Below are 20,008 nucleotides of genomic sequence, written 5' to 3' on the forward strand. Positions count from 1 at the left end.
TATTTCCTACAAACTGTCATTAGGAAAAATCAGAAGACTAATTATTGTCTAAATTTTACCGTCTAGAATTTCTAATATCATTCAGCATTTTCAACTTTTTTCTTAATAGTTTCATATTGGACTGCTTGCTTCAAATTCACACATTAACCTAATAATTAAAAGCTAGTGGAAAGAATTATCAGATTAAAGCCTTAATTTCTACAAAGCATAAGTTAATAGAGAAAAACAAGTGCAAAGAGAGGCACCAGGTGGTTCATAGGACCTTCAGGTAAAACAAATGAGATTTTATTAGGCTTACAGATAGAATTTTTGCCTGTGTGTCAAGGGATAACAGGAGTGTTGATTTGAGTGGCTTATGAAACAGGCATGTTTAGCTCAGCAATATTACTCATCACTTGGCTTTTTAATCTGCCAAGAGATGGGTACGATTTGCACTTATGAACTGTGTGTAATTATGGTGATTCAGGTTTTGGCTTATAATGAATCCTCCATCACAGTCTGTTTTCTCGGTCTTTTATTTTCTGTTCCTCTAAGGGAAGAGAGACCAAAGAGAATTCTACTTTGACCCTGGCTTAAGAGTGGAACATAGATGTCTATAAAACTATGTGGTATGTACATTTATAAAAATTTTAATTTGCATTTTCTCTAGGTTTTATGTTTTTGGTGATAACAGAATAAAGTGTGCATGCCATCCAAGATAAATGGATGAAGGAAGTTCACTTCTTTTTAATTATCTTATACTGACAGATAAAGCAAAATAGAAAAAAAATTCTGTATTTAACCTTAACAAGCTGAGACACACTAGAGAAGTGGAAAATAGATTGTGTGCATCTGATCGTGCTGCACATTCCCTTTAGGTTGCAATCTCTGCTGTTATTACCGACAACAACTGAGACTACAGTTTTAACTCTGTATTTACTTCTAGTTATCCCACAATTGGTACATAGTATTGGATGGAGCCCTGTATTTCAAGGAGTTCAACTACCTAATTTTCATAGCTGAGATAACTAAGTTTCTGAGTCCGTTTTCCTTTTTCCAGTCTGATCTCTCCTTTTCTCAAGGCTACTTTCGTTTCTGATAACATACTAAAGGTTATAGGATTTATCGGTATTTTGCCTCCTGGGGTCATTTGTTATTAAAAAAGAAACTCTATTCAAATAACTGAATCTCTACTATTGGATTTTCCAAAGCTATGATAGACCAGCTAGTGAAACTATTTTGTACTGGAATTTGGCAGGGTGATGGGGTGGGGAGAAGGTGTGGAGAGGAATTCTTGTCCTCAGTCCTGATATTTCTTTCCAGGTGAATGTGGTCTTCCGTGTGCTACACTCCTTGCCTCTCTCTGCTCTTCTATTCACTATCTACCAGAGAAGATGGAGTGATTCACTCTGATTAATAAATTTGGAAAAAATCAATTAGACATGCTCCGAATAGTTCCACCCTTTTTGTCTTAGAAGACAGCTGCCCTCAGAGAGCAAGATTTTACCTTTGTAAATTGGTACACATGATCTAGCTTAGCATTGCTTTTAACAGGGGGAAGTCTGTATAATTCCTGGATTATTATCATGCCAGTGGGTTCTCATATTATACTTTATCCTCCAAATTAATTTTTTGTGGTGAAATTGATGCTTTTACTTCTTTTCTTTTCTTTTCTTTTTTTTTTTTTTTTTTTGAGACGGAGTCTCACTCTGTAGCCCAGGCTGGAGTGCAGTGGTGCCATCTTGGCTCACTGCAAGCTCCGCCTCCCGGGTTAGCGCCATTCTCCTGCCTCAGCCTCCCGAGTAGCTGGGACTACAGGCACCCGCCACCACGCCCGGCTAATTTTTGTATTTTTAGTAGAGACGGGGCTTCACTGTGTTAGCCAGGATGATCTTGATCTCCTGACCTTGTGATCCACCCGCCTCGGCCTCCCAAAGTGCTGGGATTACAGGCGTGAGCCACCGCGCCCAGCCGATGCTTTTATTTCTATCTTCTCATTTGTGTAAAGTGAATAATGATATCTCACTGTGATTTCTAGTTCATTTTTGTGACTCACAAATATAGATACTACTTCCGTTATATTACCTGTTTATTTTCTTATGTGAATTGCTTTCTCATACCCTTTTCTAAATTTTCTCTTCAGTACTTTACAAAGGGATTTGAAAGTGAGTTTGGTGATAATACGAAAGTATTTCAAGTGGACAAAGTGCAAATAATAGTATCAGTTGATGTTAGCATACACACACAGGAATGTCTTCTTTTATAGTAAAATTTATTTATTTATTTATTTATTTATTTATTTATTTATTTATTTATGACAGAGTCTTGCTCTGTCGCCCATGCTGGAGTGCAGTGGCCCTATCTCGGCTCACTACAAGCTCAGCCTCCCAGGTTCACGCCATTCTCCTGCCTCAGCTTCCCGAGTAGCTGGGACTACAGGCGCCCGCCACCACACCTGGCTAATTTTTTGTATTGTTGTTAGTAGAGACGGGGTCTCACCGTGTTAGCCAGGATGGTCTGGATCTCCTGACCTCGTGATCCGCCCGCCTCGGCCTCCCAAAGTGCTGGGTATAGTAAAATATTGAGTGTGTGTGTATATGATAGAGAGAAAATAATACTAATTTTAAGAGAGTTATATGAAAATTCTTTTAGATTTCTAAGGAAAAGACTGACTCGAACAAATGGACATTTTAAGAAAGCTATTGCTACTTAGTAATGTATGAGTCAAATGGATAGAAACTCCACTATTTGATGTGAGGTGTCTAGAATGTTGGGAAAGTGTTAATTCAATAGTGCTGTAGACAAAAAGTTTTCCACATTGATCCTATTTGTTCACCCATCTCCCTCCACCTAGGGGAACTACTTTTTAAAAGATGTTATGTTGTTCAAATTTCATATATAACCAATGTAAGTGAGCCATTAGTGTTTTTGGAGTATGAGGTAATAGATTCCTGTCCCCCACCAACTCCCTTATTTATCCCCTTTATGATTTCCTCACATAGCTAATAATGCAACAAGAAGAGCTTTAGGGGTGCAGAGAACTCAGAAATATCCCATTGCAATAGAAGGATATGTTTCCTTTTAAGGTAGCTCCGAAACAGCCCATTATATAATCATTTTGTCCCAAAGCAGTGGCTTTCATACTCACCCTGCCCATGGGCCTGACCATAACTGTTATTTCACTAAATCAGGTTATTTTTGGAGTGCCCAATTCTAAGTTGGCTGCTACTGGTGACATACATTTCATTATAGTTTGAGAGTTGTCAATATAAATACTCCACTCATAGACACCAAGAAGGTTCTTAGGAGGCAAGATCTAATCTTTAGAAAAATTTTATTGACATTTCATAAAATATTTATTTAAAGCTTGAGAAGGAAACTTTCTGGCTGTTAATGTTTTTCAGCTACCAATGAGTCTAACTCACGCATCTTTTTTCTTTTGGTTGCAATTATTATACAACCTCCTGCACGCCCGCTCCATTGCACCTGCCTCTCAAAACCTAAAGAAAAAAGATTTAAGCAGCTAAAATTTTAATAAAATATGGAACAGTCACATGAATTTCTGAACTTTAAAATGGGGAAAACAATCATAGGCTCTGATGGCTAATTTCAGAATCCTTTACATTTCATAATGAAAATTTCTATGTATAAAGATTCAAACTATTTGGAGACTTACATTTCAAAGGATAATTCTACTTTTTAGGCACTGTAACTTATTTTTATCCAAGAGAAAGAAGAAATGGTTAACTGAAAAGATTTAGTGACAGTGTTGTGATAGGAGTCAAAACGTCTCTAGTTGGCATAAGCATAGGAAAATAACTTTGTTGCAAAACACTTGAGCTCTGTTTGCAGAAATGAATGGCTAGCGGATATTTTTGTTCTCTCTGTTATACTAATGGATAAAGGCATGCTGATAAGTCACTGTAGCTCTGTGGGGTTAATGCCAGAATGAAATACCAGAGCTGTACTCTTTCTTAGGAAATAGCAGATTCTTACAGACATGATCACAACACATTTTACAGACAAACTACATTGCCTCATGTACTGTAGCCCCTATTCTGTGCTTTGGGGGTCACCACAATAATTTCTCTTAGAAATTTCCTAATTTCAATAAAGCCTACCATGGAAACTTATTTGGTTGTTTGTTCCCTCTCTTATATCTGCTCCTCTGCGTCTTTCCCTTCTTTTCTGGCATTTGTTTTTCTTCTGTTCCTTTGGAGAAAGCACAGCCTTTAGAGCTAGTCAGTTTAGAATTTAGCTCAAATTTTATCTTGGTCACATATAACTATGGAAAAAGTATTTCCTTTCTAAAACCTCTCTGTTTTTTCATACGGCAAATGGAGACTATATACTCTACACTTAGGATTAGAATTAACTGAGAGACACACACATTTTCTCATTTTCTTTTCTTTTTTTTTTTTCTTTTCTTTTTTTTTTTTTGCTTCTCAATCAGCTCAGTTCTCTGTAGTAGATGAGGTAGTTATCAACGGGGAGGAGCTAGGAGTTTCCAGCTTAGCAATTTAATACTTTTAATAACTATACAATTATTTCGTACAAATACAAGAACCTAAACAGCTTATAGAGCAAGAATTACAGTAAGATTGGCCCACCATGCTTTTCGCAATCTCCCATAGTTGTGCTTTCATAAACAAAAGTGCTAACCTGAACTTCCAAATCAACAACTAAGCTCTGGCTCTATTACTACATCCCAGAACCATGACACAGATACATGATTATAGACCCTGAACAACAATGCCCATCTTCACAGGCACTTTGAAATGGGGCAGGTTTCATTTTAGAGTATATTTTAAGGCATAAGAGTTTGCCTCCAGAATTTTAAGTTGTAGTGAAAATACTCTGTCTGTAACATAGAAAAATAAGCTTAGAAGACTCTCCGAGTTTCCTTCATGGATTAAAAAGTTGAGGATTCTTTTAACTACATAAATTCTGTGTCCTTTCAAATAGTAGTACCCTTACAACTTAAATAGCACAGGTGTACGTTACCATTTCATACCGATCAGCCCCAGTGGGGCGTGGAGGTAGGGGAAACAGTTAAATAGAGACTTTCCCAGATGTGTTCCAAAATCTGTCATTTCTGTTAAATTGGTAATTATCAAATTTATGACTAAATAAAGATCATATAGAGCTTTTCTAAACACAGATTTCAGAGTCTCAAATTTAGAGAGTCTACTTCAGTAGCTCTGGAGCATAGGCTAAGACTCTGGATTTTTACAATGCATTTTAAGGAATCTTGATGTAAGTAGTCCTTGAACTTTACTGAAAAACTTTGCCCTACACCCTGCCTTATAAATAAGTTATACAACTGCTTCTTGGGGCTGTTAAGCAATGGAGTCTAGTGAGATTGTTGCAATTTCTTGTGCTGAGAGAAAGAAATCCAATTAAGAAATGTAAATTCTTCTTCATGCTGAGAGAATATGAGGCAATAAAAATATGAATTTCTTTATGTTGCATAGAAGCTTCTGGGAGCCCATAAAGGGTGAGCAATCCTTACCAAGCAGCTGGACTGTCATCATCTTCTCTGGCTTTTATGGGAGAAGATGAGGTACTTTTGGCACTTTTCTGAAAACAATCTCTTTAAGAGTTTCTGTACAGGCTGCAAGGCTTTTTCTTTTAATGCTTGAAATTCATAATTAACAATTTAGAATGGGGGAGAAATGTTAAAATATGGAATAAGTGCAATCCTTTTTCAGGATGATTATCTGATTTCTAATTGCACCCAGCAATACAGTTGTTCAGAAAGACTGGTGGTTGGGAATAAAGAAAGCGTTTTCAGTAACTTTTAAGGAGACTTGTTAGTGCTTTAAAAAAGAGTGAACAGGCTGGGCGTGGTGGCTCACCTCTGTAACCCCAGCACTTTGGGAGGCTGAGGTGGACGGATCACAAGGTCAAGTGATCAAGACCATCCTGGCCAACATGGTGAAACTCCATCTCTACTAAAAAAAAAAAAAAAAAAAAAAAAAAAAAATTAGCCATGCGTGGTGGTGGGTGCCTATAGTCCCAGCTACTCTGGAGGCTAAGGCAAGATAATCGTTTGAACCCAGGAGGCGGAGGTTGCAGTGAGCTGAGATCACACCACTGCACTCCAGCCTGGCGACAGAGCGAGACACCATCTCAAAAAAAAAAAAAAAAAAAAAAAAAGAGTGAACAATTGAACAATTCTAATTACTACTCATGCTCCAACATGGCTGTGTTACCCTGAAGCAGACCATAGTACAGGGCTGGAGCACATGGGCTACTGTTGAAAATGTCAGAAAACTAAAACAAAGATGAAAAGCAAGTGGGAGTTTGGTGTGAGAGATTCTATTGCCTTGATATGCCCATAGAAGCAGAGTTGAGTGAAGGGAGCTGTTTTTGTCATTGAGAGGTTCCTTTCATTTAGTTTTCTGAGAGAATTCTATGTGAGCCTGGTTGAATCCTATCTGCCACTTCAAATACTGTCTTCCTTTCCATTTTTCTGTTACATATAGTGAACTTGTTCCAATAACCTTTTCAAGTAGATTCCTGGTTATGTTTCCTTCCTTATGCCCTGGCTTTTGTAAATTCAATCTCTGCCTTAGTGATTCTAAATCCACATCAGACATATCCTATATAAGCAAACATATGTTGTTCAAGACATATTCCTAAGCAGCATCTTCTATCCCACTTCTCTCTGTTTTTCATTATGCTCCTGATTCTTGATTTAAATGATGCTATTTTGGGAAAACAAATGTGCTCTGGGATTAACAGCAATTCCCTTTGTAAACCAAGCCTGTTAAAAATGCATTTCTAGAAGTCCAGCATAATTTGAACCAGCAAATCTAAGCATCTTCTTTCTATGTGGAGAGAATTTTAGGCTACTATATTCAAAAATTGCTTTATTAGCCACAGAAGAAATAGCCAAAAGTAGAGATTCCCAGAACAATTGTAAATGAGTCATTGAATTTAGAACACCATTTTGAAATGATTTTCAATCACTGAATAGACTTAGTAAGTACAAAGACAACTCAATTCTGGTGTGTATCTTCACCATTTAAAGATATTCACAGGTTTAAAATTTAATGTTTTCTTTGCATTTAGAGTGAATTTATTGTTGGCAGAAAATGCATGAGAGTCCGGACTGGAGAATTAAGTCTTCTGTTCCCTACATAATGGATCTAGCAGAAATGTTTAGCTATTTAGGATTCATGAGTGCTGTTCTGCCAGTCTACATTAGGCATGATTAGAGAGGGCCAACTGAAGCTGGGATGTATTGAACTCTGTAAAGTATGTGAAACCACCTTGTGTCAGGGCCTGTTTAAGGAATGAAAGCTAAGAATTTGGCTAAGTGCACAACAATGTAAGGATTGAATATCTCAGCAATTTACCTCAATCATAATAGCTCATGTCTTTTATCCCTTAGGTTGGGGCCCATTGTCTAGCTTACTGACTTCAACTTCCTCTTCTATATAGGCTCTAGGCCTCAGACATAGTGTTGATTTCTATAAGCAACCATAGGCATGTTCTGACTGCTGTATTGTCTCCTAAAGAAGGCATCTTACACTGTAAAGTTAGGAAAATCCCACCATACCTGAGGTCCAAAGTAGGGGTATTACTAGCATAAGGTCATATCACTAGTTAGTGGAAGAGCAGAGATTTAAATTCAGATTTTAGAAAAAAGAAGTAAGGTAAAGTTTTGACAAATATTGGAATATGTGACATGTAATAGATCAACTTGGTTTGTGAATTCATATTAGGTATTGCATTCTGTATTAGTTTCTGCCACAAAGGAAGGAAGGGAACATTTATGGAACATACAGATTTTGAGTCAGGCAAGCCTGGGTTCAAATTCTGTCCCACTACTTAATAGCACAGTGATTTGGGGGAAATTACGAAACCTCTCAAGGACTCACTGCCATCATTGATAAAATGGGAATAATACTAAACTTCATAACAATTTGCAAGACCATTTATAAAGAGGTTGGCAGAGTGCCTAAGTAATAGTAGACTTAGTGAGGACTCAGCTGTAAAGCCTACACTCTCCCTACCATACCATAGATCCTTCCTATTGGCAACATCACTGTATTTGTAACTATGTATTTCCCTGTCACTCTAATAATAGTCACAAGATAATTTCCATTATGAGATATCAAAATTTCCAAGACCGTGTGATAAGTTTGACTAATACAATTAGAAATAAAGAAGGAAATGCCATTATATATTTGTAAAGTAAGATTTTAAATGAGATCATTGAAATCCTACTTGTTTATCTTTCAGAGACACTCAGTGATTCTTTTTTCTTCCCAAGTAATGGATTATATGGATTATTATATATTTAATTGCTATTTTGAGAAAGGTATTCCTCCAAATGGGCATTAGGGAAACAGGACAGATTTTAATTAAACCATTTAGCACATACTGAATAACCTCATCAGGAGGCATGATAAAAGTATGCTTAATTGGCTCAGAAAGATGGTAGTAATGTGAGAACTTCAAACACAAAGTTAACTGCAGAGATAATTCTACATCTATCTCCTAATCAACAGCAAGGGAAACTACTAAACATTTAAATAGGCAAGGCAAGAAAATCAGAGAATAGGCTATACTTTCATCTAATTTGTCTCTCAAAAAAGTTTCTTCAGGTGTGCACGTGTATTCTATTTTGGTGACAAGACTACATAAGGAAGGGACTGCTTTATTTCTAAGGCTGTCTGACAGCACGTTTCCCTCAATACTTTGTACAGTGTGTATGGTAGTGTTTCTCATTCTATTATTCCTTTCATTCTTCTCTCTATCCCACCTAAAACTTAACACTTTTCTAAATATCAGTGCCAGCATAGGCACTTAAGAACAGGACGGAGAATAGAATTGTCTATCCCATGTTTCTATTTGTCTCCACCAGGCAATATAACGGGTCAGAAGACCAGGCAGACTGGTCAGAGAATGGGGCAGCACTGGACCAATTGCAGGACAGTTAAACAGCTAGCTAGCTAGATTGTAAAACAGCTATCTGAAGTCAACTAAGTTCTGAGGTCTGAAAACCAGAAGACCACAAAAGATCAAGTAAATGAATGATAGAATTGAAAGAGGTAGGTATAAATCAGCTCAGTTCCATTTCGCCTGAATATAGAGAATGGCCATTGTATGCCAGGACTTGTGATAGATTATGAAAATTTAGAATACAAAAGTAAAATAATTTCACACTTGTTTTTCTAAGCAGTATTACTATCAGAGGAAACATGTACATGAGCAGATTATAACAAAACAGAATGGTAAGTCACTTGACAGAGCTTTGTATGAGGTGTTAGGGAGGCACATAGCATGGCCACCTATTCCACATTCCTTGATTTCACTGTTCATGATTATTGTTATGTTTGGGATACTAAGAATCCTGATGACATCATTCTTTTATCTTACTTGAGCTTTTCTAGCAAGAATGTTTTCAATGTGAGTCTTTTTATAGCAAAACTTCTGACATCAGAATATCATTTCTACTTCTGTTTTTCATATATTTTAGCTTTGATTTTATAGCTTCCCTCTTTTTATATTTTTCTTCTGCCTTCTGGAATTTTTAATGTCATCTTCTAATTCACATATTTATTCTTAAGTGTATCATCTTCTTTGATCAGTTATTATGTTTATCATTTCCACCAGTTTACTTTTCAGATTTCTTGTTCTTATGTTACTAATATATTTCCTTATCTTCTAAAGTATTACAGTTATTTTACATTATTGATCCATCCATTCCAGTGTTCAGACAGTTTATTGAGTTTGTCTTTCTTTAACAGTCCTTGCAATCTTTATACATCTAGTTATCTTCCCTAGGTGCTCATTTCACCATGATGGTATACTTACTGTGTCTGGTAATATGTACTATGGAATGCCCAAGGCCATGCCTTCCTCTCTGTATGTCCAAGTTAATTTAGAAAAAGAAAACGGGCTTAATTTCAGGAAAGAGAGCTCAGGACTATTATTTCTCTTTGCAGTCCTCCACCAGGCAACTGCTGTGATTGGGATTTATCATCAATACCTTAGGAAGAAGCAGCATTGAGAAAAGGTTATTCGTCTAGTTTGTCATCTACAAACTTGGAGTTTAAAGAAAGGGGATGGAGAAGAGAGTGATTAAGTGGGGAGATATAAGGCACTATGGATAATATAACAATCCAAGTTAAAAGGGAAATTTAGACTGACAAAATATCTTTGGTTTGCTCTCTTAACCAACATGATAAACAATGTGATAACAATTCAGGCTCAATGACGCTACCAGTTATGGCTTTTGTACTTAGGGCTAATTTTTCGTTCTTTGGACTTTAGTGTACCCATAAATAAAACGGGAATATGATAGTACCCAACTCTTAGGGTTTTGTGATGATTAAATGATACACTATTATATATAAATTTTAGAGTTCCAAAAATGAGTGTGTTTTACTCTGGAAACTTAAAAGGTGCTTTATTTAATTTTAAGAAATACATGGCTGTTGTGTAGGCTTACTAAATGGTTTAGGTATTTATTTATCCCATGAGTTTGTGGGATTGTGCATCTGGGGTACAATAATTTTTAAGTGTTTAGTTCTTTGAACAATTGTGCAGCATACATACAGACCTCTCTGCCTCCCTCTCTCCCGAATGCAATCCACTGTGGGAAGCATGATTTGTAGCTAATAGTGAACATCAACTTGGTGAAAAAATAAATTTTTCTTACAATGAATTTCTCTCTTTAATAGGGATTTAATTTTGTTAAAAGTAATAACAACTAAATAAAGAATGTTTTCTTCATCCAGTAAGATCACTGACTTTCTCAAATAACTGGTGATGCTCTAGTATGTCCATAATGGCAGATATCCAGATCCCAGTGTGACCTGCTTTAAACTTTGAGAAAACAGATATGCGCATTAAAGGATAATGGTTTTATGAGGAAATATAAATAATCTCAACTAACCAGACTCCATTGATTTTCATAGTTCCATTGTAATAAATGAAAACAAATCTTGTGCTAATTTTAAAGATCATAGATGCTAAGAGGGGCCAGTTTAGAGAATAAAGTGATACAGTAAAATGAAAAAAAAAGGAGAAATTTCTTTTTCATTTTGTGTGAAAGACCAGTATTTAAAGATTGCAGGATCAATAGCACATTTCTGCTTGAATGAGAGACAGTGAGATCAGGAAAACATGACGTATAAACAAAAGAAAATGGACATAATTGTTCTTGTATTATATTAATAAATATAGTGGTAAAATGGAAACTAGAACGGATATGTAAAATGACTAAAGGAACTGCAGTGATAAAGTAAATTATTAATAGAAAATACCGTATGTTCAACTCATTAGTAGTATTTAGATCTCTGACCCACTTAGAAAGAAATAGTTTTTCTGTCTTAGTGTTCATAACTGCTGAACAGGCCAGGATTGGCAACTATAACTAGGACTAGATTTCCTACAGTAAATCATTTAAGTTGCATGTAGTACCTATTATCAAAAAGCAAATGAAGAATTCATTTAATAGTGTATGCTGGTTAGGAACCTTCATTGAAACCTGATTTTCCTCCACGAAGTGTATATGCCTTCACCATCTGTAGTTCTCAAATTCAAGCCATGCTAATGCTAACAAAGTGGCTGGCTTGGCAGATCAATCAGAGAGGGAGCCTGGAGATTTACCTACTTTGGAAAGGTAATTTAAAACTAAATCCACCTTTAGAAGTGAGTGTCCCATTTGTGTTTATAGGTTTCACTAGAGGGGAGCCCTACATATTAGAAGCATTTCCTTTTGTTTGCCAATAGCAGTGAAGACTAAGGCTAAAACCCAAAAGGATATGACTTACACAAGAATGAGCATATGGCTGTCAAAGTTTTAATCACTAGGAAAGGAAAATATAGTTGCAGCTTGTAGATAAACAGCTCTGTTTTAGCAAAAGCCAGATGAGGACAGACTTGGTTGTAAGATAATTGGTAAAAAATGTCAGCCCTTTAAAGGAGCATATCAGTTTTGCATGCTCAATAAAACAACAACAACAACTCACCTAAGGAGAGGTGAGTCTAACAGGAAAAATTCAAGCAGCAGAAAAATTTGGTACAATAATCTCCTATGAACTAAATTACCTGAAGTATTTTATCAGTATCTTTCATAGAGTTAAGAGGCAGGAGTTCAGGCACTGCATTTAAAAATGGTTTGGCACAGTCATTGCCAATGTTACTAAAACTTCTAAAGGGATAAGGAAACAATTTCTTGTGCAATTTTGGAGGATCATATGATTCATACTATATTGGAATTTTCATGGTAAAATTGTCAATCCCTTGGTGATTTTTCCAACTTTCAACATAAAATTGCAAGTCTGTTTTGAAATAGGAGCAAAGTGCAATCTGTCTTTACAAGAGCTAAAATGTTTGCAAATTTCATAATGTTATCTTATTTCCTGACTGTACGTGTTCCTTTAGAATCTTTGACCAAAATCCATTATTTACTTGTAAAAAGTTAAAGGCTCAATGATAAAATATACAGTACTCCTAAATGTGCTGGTCAAATAGACTCAAGAAAACTTGATATGCTTTTATTTAACAACAACAACAACAACAACAACAACAAAACCTACTTAAACAAATGTGGACCATTTTTCAGCAAATATTTTTTAAAAGCCTACTTTTGACTAGGCAGGCGTTGTTCTTTGTGTGAAGCTGTAAACTTGAACTTTGTTATATATTTACTATCATGATGTTTCTCATGTCTTAGCTTCATATCCTGTCTTCCCTCCCTCCATCACTCCCTCCCTTCCTTCTTTCCTTCCCTCCCTCCTTCCCTCCTTCCCTTCCTCCATTCCTCCCTTCCTCCGTTCCCCCCTCTCCTCCCCTCCCCTCCCCTCCCCTTCCCTTTCCTTCCCTTCCATTTCTTTCATGCGCTTCCATGTGAAGAGACCACCAAACAGGCTTTGTGTGAGCAACAGGCTGTTTATTTCACCTGGGTGCAGGTGGGCTGAGTCTGAAAATAGAGTCAGGGAAGGGAGATGGGGTGGGGCCGTTTTATAGGATTTGGATAGGTAAAGGAAAAAGGGGGGTTGTTCTCTGGTTGGAGGAGTGGGGGGTCACAAGGTTCTCAGTAGGGGAGCTTTTGAGCCAGGATGAGCCAGGAGAAGGAATTTCACAAGATAATGTCATCAGTTAAGGCAGGAACAGGCCATTTTCACTTCTTTTGTGGTGGAATGTCATCAGTTAAGGCAGGAACTGGCCATCTGGATGTGTATGTGCAGGTCACAGGGGATATGATGGCTTAGCTTGGGCTCAGAGGCCTGACATTCCTGTCTTCTTATATTAATAAGAAAAATAAAATGAAATAGTGGTAAAGTGTTGGGATGGTGAAAATTTTGGGGGTGGTATGGAGAGTTAATGGGCGATGTTTCTCAGGGCTGCTTCCAGTGGGATTAGGGGTGGCGTGGGAACATAGAGTGGGAGAGATTAAACTGAAGGAAGATTTTGTGGTAAGGGGTGGTATTATGGGGTTGTTAGAAGAAACATTTGTCATTTAGAATTATTGGTGATGGCCTGGATACAGTTTTATATGAATTGAAAAACTAAATGGGATAAGAGAAGGAGAAAAACAGGTATTAAAGGACTAAGAATTGGGAGGACCTAGGACATTTAAGTAAAGAGTGCCTAAGAAGGTTCAGTATAGCCTTGCCAGCAAAGATTATTTATTTACTTCAAGAGTTAAGAGTGGCGATTTGGGGATAGCACCAAGAGATATCAGCTGTGATGGCTTGGAGAAACAGTGTAAACTGGCAGTGTAAACAAGAGCAGGGCAGGTATGAGTAGTTGAGAACGGTGAATATGAGTATGACTAGACAGAAGATAGTAGAGATGGCAAGTTTTCTGGGGCACAGTCCAAGTTGGTCTAGTGTCTGGAATGAGACTGGGGCCTAATAAAAAGGAGCATCTATACAGGAGCTCAAATGGGCTGTACCTTTTAGCATTCTGAGGACAGGCCTGAATTCTGAGAAGGGAAAGTGGTAAAAGTATTGTCCAGTCCTTTTTAAGTTGGTGGCTAAGCTTGGTGAGGTGTGTTTTTAAAAGACCATTATTCTGTTCTTTCCTGAAGACTGAGGACTGTAAGGGATATAAAGGTTTCACTGAATACTAAGAGCCTGAAAAAATGCTTGGCTGATTTGACTAATAAAGGCCAGTCTGCTATCGGACTGTATAGAGGTGGGAAGGCCAAACCGAGGAATTATGTCTGACAGAAGGGAAGAAATGACCATGGTGGCCTTCTTAGACACTGTGGGAAAGTCCTCTACCTATCCAGTGAAAGTGTCTACCTAGACCAAGAGGTATTTTAGTTTCCTAACTCAGGGCATGTTGAGTAAAGCTAATTTGCCAGTCCTGGGCGGGGGCAAATCCCTGAGCTTGATGTGTAGGGAAGGGAGGGGCCTGAATAATCCCTGAGAAGTAGTAGAATAGCAAATTTGCCAGTCCTTGGTGGGGACAAATCCCTGAGCTTGATGTGTAGGGAAGGGAGGGGGCCTGAATAATCCCTGAGGAGTGGTAGAATAGCAGATGGAACACTGAGAAGTTATTTCCTTGAGGATATATTTCCACGATGGAAAGGAAATGAGAGGTTCTAAGAGGCGGGCTAGTGGCTTGTACTATAGCATAGCCTGCCTTTGCTGGTGTGTGGCGATTAGGCCTGGTGGAACTGCCATCAATAAACCAAGTGTGATCTGCGTGAGAAACAGGGAAGAAGGAAATGGGGTGAACGTCAGGTGGATCAGAGAGATGCAGTCATGAGGGTCAGGTGTGGTATCTGGAATAATGTGGGAGGCCGGATTGAAGTCCGGGCCAGGAACAATTGTAATTGTGGGAGACTCAACAAAGAGTGAGTACAGCTGAAGGAGCCGGGGAGCAGACAGTATATGCGTCAGGTGTGAGGAAGAAAATAGATTTTGGAAATTATGAGAGCTGTAGAGAGTGAGTTGAGCATAGTTTGTGATTTTAAGGGCCTCTAAAAGTACTAGGGCAGCAGGAGCTGCTGCACGGAGACAAGATGGCCAGCCTAAAACAGTAAGGTCAAGTTGTTTGGACAGAAAGGCTACAGGGTGCGGTCCCAGCTCTTGTGTAAGAATTCTGACTGCACTAACCGTGCCTAGGAAAGAAAAGAGTTGTTGTTTTGTAAGGGATTGAGGTTTGGGAGATTAGCTGGACACGATCAGCAGGGAGAGCACGTGTGTTTTTATGAGAATTATGCTGAGATAGGTAACAGATGAGGATGAAACTTGGGCTTTACTGAAGTAAAGGGGGCTGTCTGTGAAGCCTTGCGGCAGTACAGCTCAGGTAATTTGCTGAGCCTAATGGGTGTCAGGGTCAGTCCAAGTGAAAGCGAAGAGAGGCTGGGATGAAGAGTGCAAAGGAATAGTAAAGAAAGCATGTTTGAGATCCAGAACAGAATAATGGGTTGTAGAGGGAGGTATTGAGGATAGGAGAGTATATGGGTTTGGCACCACAGGGTGGATAGGCAAAACAATTTGGTTGATAAGGCGCAGATCCTGAACTAACCTGTAGGTCTTGTCTGGTTTTAGGACAGGTAAAATGGGGAAATTGTAAGGGGAGTTTATAGGCTTTAAAAGGCCATGCTGTAACAGGCGAGTGATAACAGGCTCTAATCCTTTTAAAGTGTGCTGTGGGATGGGATATTGGCATTGAGCAGGGTAAGAGTGATTAGGTTTTAATGGGATGGTAAGGGGTGCATGATGAGTCACTAAGGAGGGAGTAGAGGTGTCTTATACTTGTGGGTTAAGGTGGGGAGATACAAGGGGAGGATGTGAAGGAGGCTTTGAACTGGGGGAAAAGGTGGCAATGAGGTGTGGCTGTAGCCCAGGAGTAGTCAGGGAAGCAGATAATTTAGTTAAAGTGTCTCGGCCTAATAAGGGAACTGGGCAGGTGGGGATAATTAAAAAAGAGTGCAAAAAGAGTGTCTTCTAAGTTGGCACCAGAGTTGGGGAGTTTTAAGAGGTTTAGAAGCCTGGCTGTCAATACCCACAACAGTTATGGAGGCAAGGGAAACGGGCCCTTGAAAAGAAGGTAATGTGGAGTGGGTAGCCTCCGTATTGATTAAGAAGGGGACGGACTTACCCTCCACTGTGAGAGTTACCCGAAGCTCGGCATCTGTGATGGTCGTCTAGGGGCTTCTGAGGCGATCAGGCAGCATCAGTCTTCAGCTGCTAAGCCGAGAAGATCTGGGAAGTAGTCAGAGAGCCTTGGGCCAGAGTTCAGGGGCTCTGGGAGTGGCTGCCAGGTAAATTGAACAGTCTGATTTTCAGTGGGGTCCTGCACAGTTGGGACACAGCTTAGGAGGAATCCCAGGCTGCAGGCATTCCTTGGCCTGGTGGCCAGATTTCTGGCACTTGTAGCAAGCTCCTGGGGGAGGCGGGCCTGGAGGAACACTTGGCCACTGTGATTGAGGCATTTGGAAGTTCTTGTGTGCTGGAGATGTGGCTGGGGTTTGTCTCACAGCGGAGGCAAGGAATTGTACACCTTGAAGGTGAGGTTAATTAAGTCCTATTGTGGGATTTGAGGGCCGGAATTTAATTTTTGGAGTTTTATTTAATGTCGGGAGCAGATTGGGTAATAAAATATATATTGAGAATAAGACGGTTTTTTGACCTTTTAGAGTCTAGGGCTGTAAAACATCTCAGTGTTGCTGCCAAACGAGCCATGAACTGGGCTAGGTTTTTATATTTGATGAAAAAGAGCCTAAACGCTATCTGATTTGGGATAAAGAAAAAGGAGCATTAACCTTGACTAGGCCTTTAGCTCCATCCACCTTTTTAAGAGGATATTGCTGGACAGGTGGGGGAGGGCTAGTCATGGAACGAAACAGTAAGCCAGACCGGGTGTGAGGAGGGCAGGTGATAAAAGGATTATAGGGTGGAGGAGTGGAGGCTGAGGAAGAATTGGGACCTAGCTCAGCCTGGCGAGGAGGGGAGAGGTTAGATGGGTCTGTAGAAAAGGAAGATTAGAAAGACTCAGTGATGCTTGGGGTTGGGACTGAGGGGACAGGTGGGAGGGAAAGAAGGAAGATTTGGGATGAGGTGCATTGGGAACAGAGACTAGGGAGAGACAGATGTGTAAAAGAACACCTGGATGTCAGGCACCTCAGACCATTTGCCCATTTCACGACAAGAATTATTTAGATCTGGTAGGATGGAAAAATTGAAAGTGCCGTTTTCTGGCTATTTGGAACTACTGTCGAGTTTGTATTGGGGTCAAGTGGCATTGCAGAAGAAAATAAGATGCTTAGAGTTTAGGTCAGGTGAGAGCTGAAGAGGTTTTAAGTTCTTAAGAACACAGGCTAAGGGAGAAGAGGGAGGAATGGAAGGTGGAAGGTTGCCCATAGTGAAGGAGGCAAGCCCAGAGAAAAAAGAGTAGAGACACGGAGAAGGGGTGGGGAGTTCTTGCCCTCCAAAAAAGCAGAGAAGGGGTCAGGGCATGGAGATAAGAGGTCACGGTATGGAAATAAGGGATCAGGGTGCAGAGATAAGAGGTCGGGGTTCCTGCCTCTCCCCCAGAAAAGCGGGACTTGCCGCTAAGGGTGAAGGACCAAGGCAGGTGTCCCTGTGTGGTCTGACACCTCTGAAACCTGGGTGAATAATCAGAGAGGTGTCCCTGCAGTGATTAAACACCAAGGGAAGGCTGCCTTCCCTAGTCCGTGACCGGCGCCGGAGTTTTGGGTCCATTGATAAAACATGTCTCCTTTGCCTCTACCAGAAAATGAAAGGAATTGAAATTAAGAGAAGGGAGAGACTGAAGTGTGGTGCCAAGATTGAAAGGAGAAAAAGGTTGAGGGATAGTGAGGGAGGTTGGAGAAAAGAGTAAAAAGAGGCTACTTACCAGATTTGAAATTGGTGAGATGTTACTTGGGCTGGTCGGTCTGAGGACCTGAGGACATAGGTGGATCTTTCTCATGGAGCAAAGAGCAGGAGGACAAGGGATTGATCTCCCAAGGGAGGTCCCCCCATCTGAGTCACAGCACCAAATTTCATGCGCGTCCATGTCAAGAGACCACCAAACAGGCTTTGTGTGAGCAACAAGGCTGTTTATTTCACCTGGGTGCAGGTGAAAAGGGAGTCTGAAAAGGGAGTCAGCAAAGGGAGATAGGAGTGGGGCCGTTTTATAGGATTTGGGTAGGTAAAGGAAAAAGGGGGGTTGTTCTCTGGTTGGAGGAGTAGGGGTCGCAAGGTGCTCATTAGGGGAGCTTTTGAGCCAGGAAGAGCCAGGAGAAAGAATTTCACAAGATAGTGTCATTAGTTAAGGCAGGAACAGGCCATTTTCACTTCTTTTGTGGTGGAATGTCATCAGTTAAGGCAGGAACCGGCCATCTGGATGTGTATGTGCAGGTCACAGGGTTTATGATGGCTTAGCTTGGGCTTAGAGGCCTGACAGTTTCCACATATATTTGAAGTTTCTTTCATATGCCATGCACTAGCTGAATGAAACATAGACTTGGCCATTTCAAAGTTCACAGTGGGAATTGATATGTAAACACCAAAGTATGATAGCAAAAGTATGAAAATTAGATTCACAAGCTAAAATGTTAACTACAGACTAAAAAGCAAAAGGCTCAAACAAACAAACAAATATACCACATATTTAGGTTGAAAGATGCTAAAGTGATTAAGCCAATCTTACCCACATGGAATATTCATGCATTAGACCGGAGAAGGTGCAGATACAGATGCTACACTGGAGATTATGTATAAAAAAATTCTCAGAGGTGTTGCATTGATTTCCTATTATTGCCATAACAAATTACCGTAAATTCATTATCTTAAAACAGCATGCATTTATTATTTCATCGTCTGTAGTTCAGAAATTTGGCATGGGTCTCCCAGAGCTAAAATCAAGGCACTGTCAGGGCTATGTTCTCTTCTGGACATACTGATTTCCTTTCTTTTGGATGTATACCCAGTAACGCTGAATGCTGGATCATATGGTAGTTCTGCTTTTTAAATTTTTGTTGAACCTTTATATTGTTTGCCTTATGGCTGTATGAATTTATATTCCCACTTACAGTGTGCAAAGTAGCCCTTTTCTTCACATCCTCCCAACACTTGTTTTCTTTTGTCTTATTGTTAATAGCCATTTTAATAGGTGTGAGGTGATAGCTAATTGTGGTTTTATTTATTTTTATTTTTAATTTTTATTTATTTATTTATTTTTGAGATGGAGTCTTGCTCTGTCACCCAGGCTGGAGTGCAGTTGTACAATCTTGGCTTATTTCAACTTCGGCCTCCCAGGTTCAAGCAATTCTCCTACCTCAGCTTCCTGAGTAGCTGGGATTACAGGTGCATGCCACCGCACCCAGCTAATTTTTGTATTTTTAGTAGAGATGGGGTTCCACCATCTTGGCCAGGCTGGTCTCAAAAGTCCTGACCTCGTGATCTGCCTGCCTCAGCCTCCCAAAGTGCTGGGATTACAGACATGAGCCACCATGCCCGGCTTCATTGTGGTTTTAATTTGCCATTCCCAGATACTTAGTGATGTTGAACAATTATTCATATACATGTTGGCCATTTATATGTCTCTTTTTGACAAATGCCTATTCATCCATTTTTAAATTGTCTTGTTTTCTTGCTATTGAGTTGTTTAAATTTCTTATATATTTTATATGTTAATACATTATCAGATTGATAGTTTGGAAATGTTTTCTCATGCTCTGTGGATTGTCTCTTCACTGTTGATTTTTTTTCTTGGCTGTGCAAAAGCATTTGTTCATTGTAATCCCATTTATCTATTTTTCCTGTTGTTGTTTGTGCTTTTGGAGTTATATGTAAGAATTATTGCCCAGATCAATGTCATGGAGGTTTTGTCCTATGTTTTCTTCTAATAATTTTATAGTTTTGGGTCTTACATTTAAGTCTTAAACCCATTTTGACTTCATTTTTTGTATATGTTGTGAGACAAAGGTCCAATTTCATTCTTCTGCATGTGGATATCTGGTTTTCCCAACACCATTTGTAGAACAGACTATTCTGTTCCCATTGTGTATCTTGGAATTGTTGTCAAAAATCAGTTG

The 20,008-nt window shown here is 39.2% G+C and overlaps 1 long non-coding RNA gene across 1 annotated transcript in view; it reads left to right on the forward strand.

Annotated features, from left to right (window-relative positions):
• Positions 1-511: 511 nt before the first annotated feature.
• Positions 512-20,008, forward strand: part of LINC01239 (long intergenic non-protein coding RNA 1239) — a 178,014-nt gene continuing 158,517 nt past the window's right edge. Inside the window, exon 1 of the long non-coding RNA NR_038977.1 lies at positions 512-608. This is a non-coding gene — a long non-coding RNA (long intergenic non-protein coding RNA 1239). The remainder of the gene's footprint in view (positions 609-20,008) is intronic.

The sequence above is a fragment of the Homo sapiens genome, chromosome 9 (assembly GCF_000001405.40).
Source record: "Homo sapiens chromosome 9, GRCh38.p14 Primary Assembly".
NCBI classification, from domain to species: Eukaryota; Metazoa; Chordata; class Mammalia; order Primates; family Hominidae; genus Homo; species Homo sapiens.